Genomic DNA, 10,677 nt, shown 5'->3' with positions numbered 1-10,677 from the left:
CCTCCATGATGACCAGCAAAACTTCTCTCTGGTTAAGCTGAGCTTGGTTTGTTAAGCAACTATACCCAACATGTTTATATCAAAAGCACCTGTGTTTCTCAGTGTTTCTGGAATCCCAACTTAAGTGAGGCCGGAGCTAATGCTGTATTTCAGTAAATACCACATTAGATCACACTTTTAAGCAGCCATGTCAAACAATTGACTTAAATTGAAATTACTTTCAGCTAACACTTCCCCACAAATTGTTTTTACACATGCTGCTGCTAAACCACATGTCCACCGTCCTGTACTTAGGCAACTTTTTTTTTTTTTTGGTTTAGGCCCTCACATTTGTCCTTACTAATTTTATCATGTCAGTTGTGGCCTAATACTCCAGCCTACCAAGATATTTTTATATCTTGAGATTGTCACTCCTGTCCCTTCAAAAGTTTGTTCCATCTGAATATTTCACCATACAAATTTTCAATATCTTCATCTAAGATGTTGACAAGTTTTTGAAGAGCTCAGAGCCCCATTTTAGGCCTCCTGAGACCACCTTCTAGGTGGACCTGAGCTCACCAATCAGCCCCACTTAAATATTATAATTCACTTCATTGTTCTAGTATCTAGCCCACATTTTCCTATCTTATTCCCAAAGGTATTATGAGAGGCCTTTTTGGATAATGCATTACTGAAATCTGTAAAGAACCACACTTCTCTGACCCCTGTCAAAATAGAAAGTGGCATGACTATTCCTCCTATGAAAGCATCCTGTATGGAGGATCAGACCAAATGCTAAAACACTTTAGTAGGTTTACCTAAATACAGCTTGTCTTTCATATATCATGCCTTGACACTTCTTCTGCAAGACCAGTTTTTTCTGTAAGACTAATTGATATTGAGATTTCAATATATATAGAAATGGGACTAAATTTTATCCAAAGCTATTTTTGCCTCTATTTTGGGGGCATTCAAGTTAATTTCCCCCACTTACACTAAACTGTCAAATACTAGAATGTGGAAGCTTGAATATTAGAGATAAGTAAGTGCCCAGTTCCATTCCACCAGTTCACAGCCCTGTCTATCCCTCCATCCCACCCTCACCACCACCCTCCTAAAGCAAGATTATTAACACTGAACTGGACTGCTAAAACTTCTTCCTAGCATCTTTCAGGTGCTTTTGTGGCAGAGCCATTCTGCATGGAGCTGCCAGACCAAGTGTCATTCTTGCTTAGAACTCTTCAGAGCCTCCCCTCTGAGCTCCAAATTCAGTCCAAGTCCTCTCTTGGCTGCTTGCCTGATCAGAGGAGCCACTGCCTCCCCACTCAGACCCTATTCCACCTGGTGGACTTGTCACTCTTCCCTAAATGTCTTCCATGCCTCCCTGATGCCCATCTTTGCCCTGGCTTTTCCTGTGGCCAGGAATGTCTCAACCCTGCTCTAGATTTAGAAATCTTGCTTCTTTCTCAAACAACAAAATGTCTCTCCTCAATGGAGCCTTGACTGATCTCTCCATTGGAAGTGACTTCTTTTTCCACTAAGCTCCTGTTAGCACCCTACAACTTCCAACTGACAATTGTCTTGCATAGAATTATTTGTACACTTGTTTTATCAAAAGCTGCTCCAGTGGGCTGATAGCTTATTCATCTTTTTAATTCACCAAGGGCTGAGCATTTAGTAGAGAGGATGTATTTGTTGGATGGATCATGGGTAGATGGATAGATGGAGGAATGGATGGAGTTGAGGTTTAAGAGAGGATAAATAACTTGCCAAGATCACGAAGTTGGACTAATAGAATTAATAATAGACTCAGTTCCCAAATTCAGTATTAACATATTTGTCTAGCACCACTCCACATTCTCTTCCATGGTTTTGCTTTGAACTTTTGGTAGAAGCCTTAGTAATAAACATCCAGTTTTATAAAATAAAGTCTTATATTTGTTTATATTATAAATTTATTACTCCTTGATTTACATGCTTAGGAATATAAATCTGAGAAAAATACATGGTAGGATTTTCCTACCACATTCTAAAAGCTTAAGAAATATCTGAAGCTAAGCATGGTGGCTCATGCCTGTAATCCCAGCACTTTGAGAGGCCGAGGCAAGAGGGTTGCTTGAGCTCAGGAGTTCAACACCAGCCTGGGCAACATAGTGAGACCTTGTTTCTACCAAAAAAAAAGATTATTTACATGTGGTGGTGCACAACTGTAGTCCCAGGTACTGGGAGGCGTAGGTAGAAGGATAGCTTGAGCCCAGGAGGTTGAGGCTGCAGGGAGCTGTGATTGTGCCACTGCACTCCAGCCTAGATGACCGAGCAAGATGCTGTCTCAAAAAAAAAAAGAAAGAATTTGAATGGAGACACTGCCACTTCTGCACATCTGTCCTATATGATTTAAAATATCTCTGAATACCTTGAAAACACTGATCTTTTCAACTCTAAAACTCAGAATTCTCTTAATAAAATAGTATGCTGTAGTTATACTGTGTCAGCAGTTTTGGGGGGTTTTTGTTGTTAATTGTTTGTTGTTTTTGTGAGACATGGGCTAGGGATCTGATGTTAAAAATAGACATTAAGCCCCAGGACAAAATGGCCATTCTACCTAGAGACAGCAGTTCTGGCGTTCTGAGGCCACAGTGTAACATAAACATGATGTTGTCAACCTGAGCCAGGGCTGATTTGCCTCATTTGAATCTGAAAGGGAGCCCACATCCTTCCTGTTGCTACACAAAGATGCTGAAAAGAATTCACAGAGAAAACAAATGGACTAATGCGTGTTATGTTTCCCAGAAGTTCTGTCCCCAGTGCCCCCAAAATAGTAAAATAGTTGGGAATGAGGTTGAGCAAGAAAAGAATAAAGGAATAAAAGTATACAATGCCAAGGAAAGGCCAATAGAAACTATTCTTTTTGCTTTGCTTCTCTTGGTGTTTTTTTCCAGTGTGACTCTGTAGATAATGGCAAAGAGAAATGCAGGGTCATTTTTTCCATTTTCAAGTAAAACTTATTTTGCACAATAGACCCACTGAGGCTTGCACTCATTCATGTCTACGACTCCCATCTCTCCAGTCTCAACAAAAGTGAAGGTGGCCATTGTGTCCTTTCATTGTTCTGTGACTTTGCTGCCCCTTTCTTGCTTTTTAAAATAAGTTCCTTAGAAGTATGGAATGGCGGGAACGCATGCCCTTTGTTTCAGCAATTCAGTCAAAATTTCCCAACTTGCCTTCAATGTTAGTAAAAAAAAAAAAAAAAAAATGACATGAATTGTACTGGCATGAATCTAGGTGGTCTGGCCAACAAAGAAAGGAAAGGAGGGAAGAAAATGAGGAAAGGAGGAGAGAGGAAGAGCCTGCATCCCTAAAATTTCTTTTCTCAACAAATATTTACTTGGTTACCTCTATTACAGGCATTTATGGTCATTGTATTAATTCATTCTCACATTACTGTAAAGAAATACCTGAGACTGAGTAATTTATAAAGAAAAGAGGTATAATTGGCTCGTGGTTCTGCAGGTTGTACAGGAAGCATAGCGGCTTCTGCTTCCAGGGAGGCCTCCGGAAGCTTCCAATCATGGCGGAAGGCAAAGGGGAAGCGAGGCATCTCACATGGTGGGAGCAGGAGAGAGGGCTAGGAGAAAGGTGCTACCCACTTTTAAACAACCAGATCTCACAAGAACTCACTGTCATGAGGACAGTACCAAGGAGGATGGTGCTAAACCATTCATGAGAAACTACCCCCATGACCCAATTACCTCCCACCAGGCCTCACCTCCAAAGTTGGGGATTATAATTCGACATGAGATTTGGACGGAGACATACATGCAAACTGTATCGGTTATGTTGCAGAAAGTCAGAATGGAAGGAATCTGGAGCCAAGTACATAAAGGCAGGAGCTACTTCAAAACGGACATATATGTTAGTAGCAGTTGTACATGCTGTCACTCTTGGATCAGAAGTTAAAGATGTCAGACTTAAACTGGATGTAACAGGGAAATTCTACAGATGTGGGGATGCAAATTATGGGATTTTTTTTTTTTCCAGGAGAAATCATGCAGTCTTCCTAGAGGTCTCCATCATAAGCGAGTTTTCCATCATGTAGGTCATTTATCCCTGTCATTTCTTAATTCCATATTTGTTTCCACACACAGATTTTGAACATATATTTTGAACATATATTTATTTAAAATATTTGTTTTTATCTAGCATTGTGCTGAAAGTTTTACCCTATTATAATTGTGTTATCTACATTTAAGTTTTTTACCTTTTAAGGAAAAGAAAAAGGAGAAACTCTACAATCATGCAAAAAGTATATAATTTGCCTGGGAGATGCAGAATAACTTCTAGCAGATAATTACATGCTTTGAACATGAAAAGAAATAGGGTAGAACCTGAACTAAAAGAGGACCAGGTTCTGTTCTCCCTCCCTCAGGGGAGGATATTTTAGAATATTTTGTGTTCATGTTTTAATAAGCTTTTGTTGGATTATTAAGGTGCATTTAAGTTTTTCCATCTTAGAAGTATTCGGCTGGTGCAAAAGTAATTACCAATTACTAATATAATCTTGTCAAGTAAAACCCACTCATTGGGGTACATAGAGCAAGCATCCTCTTTTCCGTAGGGCAGCTCAGTCTGTGTATCATAAACATGATTATCATTGCCATTCAATTTTAGCTGTTGCTCCAGAGAGACTTAAAGGCATGTCACATGTGAGAGATCAGCAGGCAATATTTGGGGCTATGAATATTGAGCAAATATTAAGGTTTTTTTAAAGTTCACCTTCACTCATGATTTACCTGCCCTAAGGAATTTGCCACAGATTCCAAATGTCAGCACTAGAAGAAGTGTCCGAGATGATCTGGATGAACCATTATAGTGACTGAGGCCCAGGAAGAGTGAGTGGTTTACCTTAGGTAACCAGCAGGTCAGGGTAGAATGCATGTTTCTGTTCAGTCATTTTATTCACCTCCTAGGAAACATATTGCAGTGCAGTTGGTTTGCCACTTTTGATCAAATGCACCAAATCTTCAATTTGGATTAATCTTTTCAATTACTGAGTATACCGGTCCTTTCCCATAGACTTAGAACAAACTACAAATGCAGGCAACACAGGTAATTAATTTTAAATTACCGAGTAGCCACATTTAAAAAGCAAAAAGAAACACATGAAAGTAATGTTAATATTTTTAAATTTAAGACGACCTGTGTAAAATATTATCATTTCAACATGTAATCATATTTTAAAATTTATTAAACATTTTACATTCTTTTTTCATGCTGTCTTTGAAACCTGGTTATATGCTTTATACTTACATTACATCTCATCTTGAACCAGCCACATGTGGTTAGTGCTTGCTTACCCTATTAGCACAGGTCTATATGGATGAACAGGTCCAAGCTCTACACCAAACCACAGGCCCCTAACCCTTGAGATCAAAAATGTCTCTGAGTACTAGTTCCCATTTCTTTGAATTTTTGCTCTTGATACGCCATGCATGTCTCCTGAAAACCCAGAGAGGTGAGCAAGCATGAACTGCTATAAAATGAGTGTGTCTGTTGAAAACATGGTCCAGCTCCTGCTAAGATAGCGTCATTCTGTGATACAATATTCCTGTCTTCATCTAATTCCATGAAGTTCTGCATTTCCTTAATGTCAAAAGTTCCCTTACCAGCTGCAGCCGTTTCCTGTGGATAATGTTCTAAATGGCTTTTATTTATGAGATGTCTTGTGCTATAACTGCTATCAGAATGAATGTGTATTCCAAAACCTATTCCCCAAGTCAGTCTAATTAACAATCTTCTAAGAAATAATTGTTAAACTTCAGCTGTAGCTCACAACACGGGTATGTCTCGCTTTGACCTAATTACAGAATGTAATGTTAAAATATGTAAGGAAGGAGATCAAAGAGGAAAGTCATTTTGCTTTCTATGTCTTCATCTTGCTTTCTATGTGCCTCATATTTCACAGCTCCCAACCTCCACTTCCAACTGGCTGAGGGAAGGAAACACATGGAATAGTAATGAATGAGTATAGACGCTGAGGCTGTTTTATTTTCCTCATCTTTGAAGCAGGAACAATAATAGTGCCTATCCTGGAGATTCGTAAGAATGAAGCATGAAGCATGGGATCTGACATATCGTTGATGCTCAACAAATATTAAATTGCTTCAGAAAAATAGCAAATAGGTATATCTGGTGCGAAAAATGGAAAGGAAGCCTGCCAGCTTTTTTTAAGGACACTATCTGCATTATTCTTGGAATTGAATCCGGCTCCACCCAGGGCTGAGAGCTTTTCGTTTCCATTGTGTCTTTAGCATAGCCATGCAAACCAACATCACTTCCAATGATAGGGGAATGCTGGAGTCAAAGCGACTAGTTCACTTCAGAGGACAGGCAGTGTATAATGTCAGGGGGAGGAGCTGACCCAAATAATGTGTTTCAAGTCATCAGAACACGTTCATGTCTGGTTTTCATAGTAAATTGTGACAGCTGCGCAGGAGAAGACAGAATACACTTTTTAGATGTTATTTTGTTTATTTTGTGATGCTGCTTTAAACAGTTCCACAGAGTAAGGAAATGGAGTTTTTACACTGTGAGACTTTAACTCCCTTCTTTCCTTGACTTGCCTCTTGGCTCTGCTTAATAAGCCCTTTCAGCAAGACCTCATCTGCTTTCCTTGAAGCTTCCAGGTATTATCTCTTGGTTGAATATAACAAAAATCACACCAAGTAGCTACCTGACACTCATGGGTGCAAGTATCTCATAGGAAACTGGTGAATTCTGAAAATGCTTTTGAGCCACTTCCTTTCACTGCTGGACTCTCTTAATCTACTTACTAAAGTGCTACTTGGACAAGAGAGTATTGACAGTTACAGGGAAAAACAATGTAGAATCCCAGGCCATGTGTAGGTTTCTGTGGACACATTTTAATTTTTTAAAGAATATTTTAGTTATCTAAATTATGTACCTAACCATTTATATTGAGTACATAAATTCTCAGTAAATTAGCGTCTCTCTTTTGAGGGCTGTGTGTTATCTGCTCCTGTGATCCAAATATATAGCACTAAGACAATATAAGGGATTCTCTCTCTCTCTCTGTCTCTCATTCTCTCTCTCTCTTCCTTCCCCCCTTCCTTTCTCTCCCTGCCTCCCTCCCTCTACCCTCTCTCTGTTTGTCCTAATTTACCTGACGTTTTAGCCCTTGTTGCTGTTGGAGGATTCTAAAGATGAAGCCACTCATAACCTTAATGCCTGATAGCATAGAGAATAGTTGGTGACTTCACCAGAACTTACACACCCATGCCTTTTCTTTTTTGCTTTGCCATGAGTAGGCAGTTGCATACTTTATTTAGCAAAAGAGAGAACTGTTAAAAAGCTACTAAGTAGTGGTATATTCATACCATGGAATACTACTAGGCAATAAAAGCTACTATAATGGATAAAGCAATAAAAACTACTATGCCACTCAGCAGCAATAAACTACTGAATATACAATATCATGGACAAATGTCAAAAACTTGCCACATAAAATAAGTAGACACAAAGAATACATACTGTATGATTACCTTTATATGAAACCCTAGACCAGAGAAAACTAATCTGTCGTGGTAGAAATCACAACCGTGTTTGCCTGGGATGGAATTGACTACAAAGGGACCCCAGTGCATCTTTCTAGGGTGATGAAAATGTTCTAGATCTTGATGGGGGTTTAGATTATACAGGTATATACGTTTGTCAGAACTCATTGAACTGTAAACTTAAATCTGTTTATACATTGCACTGTGGATAAATTATGCCTAAACTTTAAAAAAAAGAAGAGGGAACTAAAAAATCCACACGCCTTGCTAAACCTCCTCAAATTATTAGAAATTCTCTTTCACTTATGAACTATTTTCTTGAAAGACAGCTACCAGGTATCACTATCACCATCTTTTTGTACCAGGTACGTGGGTTCCTTTCAGACTCTTCCTGGTGCTGCAATACACAGTGGTCACCCACATTTGAGAAACATACAGTGCCTTCCTTTTCCCAGGAGATTATCCCAGAGTTACATGGGAAATCAATGTTGTATAAGTTGCACAGGGGAAACATTACTGAAGGCATTTTTTTGGAAGGTATAAGTGTATTCACTCCCCAGTGTATTGTGGGCTGTGTTAATTCAGAATTTGGAAGAGAATGCTCTTAAGCCAGGATGTTTTGTAAAGTGTTCTGTGTTGCAATGTGCAGATGTTTACATCAAATTTTAAATCTTTCACTTACCTGCTCACCTTCTCCCTCCAGAACATGCTGCCTGTTGTTAAGCACTGTTTCTGAAATACAAATCCATTGTGCAACTCTTGCTCAGAAACTACAGTGGCCTGCTCCCTCCTTCACATTTGGGCCCTGCTTAACTCTCTAGTTACCTGCATTCGCTCATTCTTGGCTTGTGTCACACCAAACAAAGCTGCTCCCTGGCATGCTCCTCTCTCCTGAATCCATGCCTTTGTAAGAGCTGTTCTGCAGCCTGCAAAGCACCCTGCCCATCCCCTTGCGCACCCCCTTTTTCACCAGTCCTTCCCACAGGCCCCACTCAGATGCCCATCCTCTGAGAACCCATCCCAGCTTTTGCAGGAGGGATGAGTCACATGCCCAAGCTTCAAGAACACTGTATGTGTTTCTTCAGGCAAGCAGGCTTACTACATTGGAGAGAACAGGTCCTTTCCTTGTCTGCCTTCTCCCATGGGCTGGACACCCTTCAGTGAAAGAGATGGCATTCGCGTCTGTATTTTGTGCACACTGCTTGGATACATAGTATTTGCCCATGAATGATGGGTGAATGGGTGGGTAGGTGGATGGATGGATAGATTCATTCACTCACTCACTCATTCATTCAACACTGCAGCAGTAGCCTTCTTTGTGGGACCACCAAAGAGGAGACAAATAAGAACCAGAATGTTGTGTGGCCCTAGCAAAAGCAGATTTTTCTGGGCGGATGTTAAAGTATTCCAGTCCCACTTTCCTTGCTTTATTTTTCCAAGCAATAAGGAGAACATGACAATATTCTTTGCCGGGGTTGTACTTTCTACCTCTCCTCTGCATAAGGGTATTCCTACCTAATTCTAAGAGAAAAAATGAAAACTTACCACTAATGATATAAAAAGCATATTTATTGTTAGGTGATATTTGTATTTTGGGGGTTTTTTCCTCACTAGGAAAATTTTCTAAATACCTTTGCATATACCACTTTGTTTTATCTTTACAAAAATCTCATTAATTAAGCAGGGGATGGATCATCATTCCCACCAGGCAAATGAGATAACTGACGTGTAGTAAAAGCCTGATGATTTTTCCAAAGTTACACATCTGGTTAGTGATAATGCTGGGACCAGAATAGGAGTCCATGTGTTCCCACCAGACTGGGAGATTGTTCCAAAGAACAAGTTCCCAGGAAAGATCAAATAATTGCTGGAAAAGCACTTCCGATCTCCAGCAAAAACAGATCTTTCCAGCTGAGTGCCCTCCCTAAGGCCTGAAGAGTATTATCTGCCAAGTAGCTATTCTTTTGTCTTCTGCATAAACCACTGCAGGCTGAAGGCCACTGTGAAATCTGTGAGAATCAAGAGCAGCCATCCACTGCAGAAATATATGTTATGAAACTTAAGGAATAAGTCACTGTCCATCCAGAGAGAAATTAGAGAATGCCTTTTCTGAAATCTCTGCTAGGACACAGGTGTGGGCCCTAACGCAGATATGAAGCTTTGTCCCCAGTGCTAAGACGAGACAGCTATTTTTGCTGGGCCAATGTAATATTTAAAAGCAAACATTTAACAGTAGGATAACGGCTGCTGAAGCTGCATTTGCAGCTGCAGCTGCATCATTCCTCTGGGGAAGGCAAGATGGCTCTTCTCCAGCTATTCATGAAGGGCAAGAGTTGGGAGCAGAAAGAGAATTTGCTCATACGTAATACTGTGCGGTCCAATCTCATGTCCCATGTGAGATGCCTAAGTCAGAAGCTGACTGCAAAGACAGCTCATCGGCTTGGAGACCCAGGGTTCATTCTGCAAGATCTTTCAGGCCACTTTTTTTCTATAATAAATGAAATCCTTTGCATTTTATTGGGAGTAAGAGAGCCAGATCTTTTCAGACATTAACAAATGAGGGGCCGTGAATGTGGTCCACCTTACTGATTTGCTGCACCAAGGAGACCACAGTCACTCCAGATCTTAAACATATTCATAATTGTGTTTGGAGCAAAGTTACCATTGGAATCAGATTTTCACAGTGCTGGTACCGATCTCTGGGATCCTCTTGTCCTTTTTTGCATTTACTCTGCTCTGTTCCTTCTTTCCCACTTATCTTCCTTTCAGGGTCTCCACTGGCTGTCTTTGCTAACCAAATATACAGGAGTTTCCTTGGTCACAATTAGAAAATGAGCTTCCAAAAGAAGAGGCACCGAGGGCCCTTGGCACAGGACACAGGAAGGGACTGATCACGTGAGCTGTCTCAGTTGAATCCCTCATTTCTCTGATGCGGTCGCCAGAATTACTCAAAGTATTTCATTTTATTTTCATGTAAAACCCATTTATACAGCTGCCTCAGGGATCTGTTATAAAACATGTGGAGAAAAATCATGATGTAAAGTAAGAAATACAGGGATACAGATAGAGGAAGCCACATTTTTGTTAACCTTGTTCTTTGGAATTCTGATCAAAACTACGATGTAAA

The 10,677-nt window shown here is 40.0% G+C and overlaps 1 protein-coding gene across 19 annotated transcripts in view, besides 1 other annotated feature; it reads left to right on the top strand.

Moving 5' to 3' along the window:
• FYN (FYN proto-oncogene, Src family tyrosine kinase) overlaps nt 1-10,677 on the top strand; it is a 213,121-nt gene that overhangs the window by 119,503 nt on the left and 82,941 nt on the right. Inside the window, exon 2 of one of the 19 annotated variants that reach the window (XM_047418567.1) lies at nt 4,018-10,445. The exons of the other annotated variants lie outside the window; for them this stretch is intronic. The gene's annotated coding sequence lies outside the window, so the exon portion shown is untranslated. The remainder of the gene's footprint in view (nt 1-4,017; nt 10,446-10,677) is intronic. 19 annotated transcript variants of the gene reach the window in all.
• Nucleotides 2,410-2,982: an enhancer, noted in NCBI's record as "OCT4-NANOG hESC enhancer chr6:112072171-112072743 (GRCh37/hg19 assembly coordinates)". NCBI's record gives its function as "activates a minimal SCP1, AML or CMV promoter by ChIP-STARR-seq in primed H9 embryonic stem cells {active_cell/tissue: H9 hESC(primed)}" and the evidence as "EXISTENCE:reporter gene assay evidence [ECO:0000049][PMID:30033119]".

The sequence above is a fragment of the Homo sapiens genome, chromosome 6, assembly GCF_000001405.40.
Source record: "Homo sapiens chromosome 6, GRCh38.p14 Primary Assembly".
Taxonomy (NCBI): Eukaryota; Metazoa; Chordata; class Mammalia; order Primates; family Hominidae; genus Homo; species Homo sapiens.
This window is presented reverse-complemented; position numbering and strand designations above follow the sequence as displayed.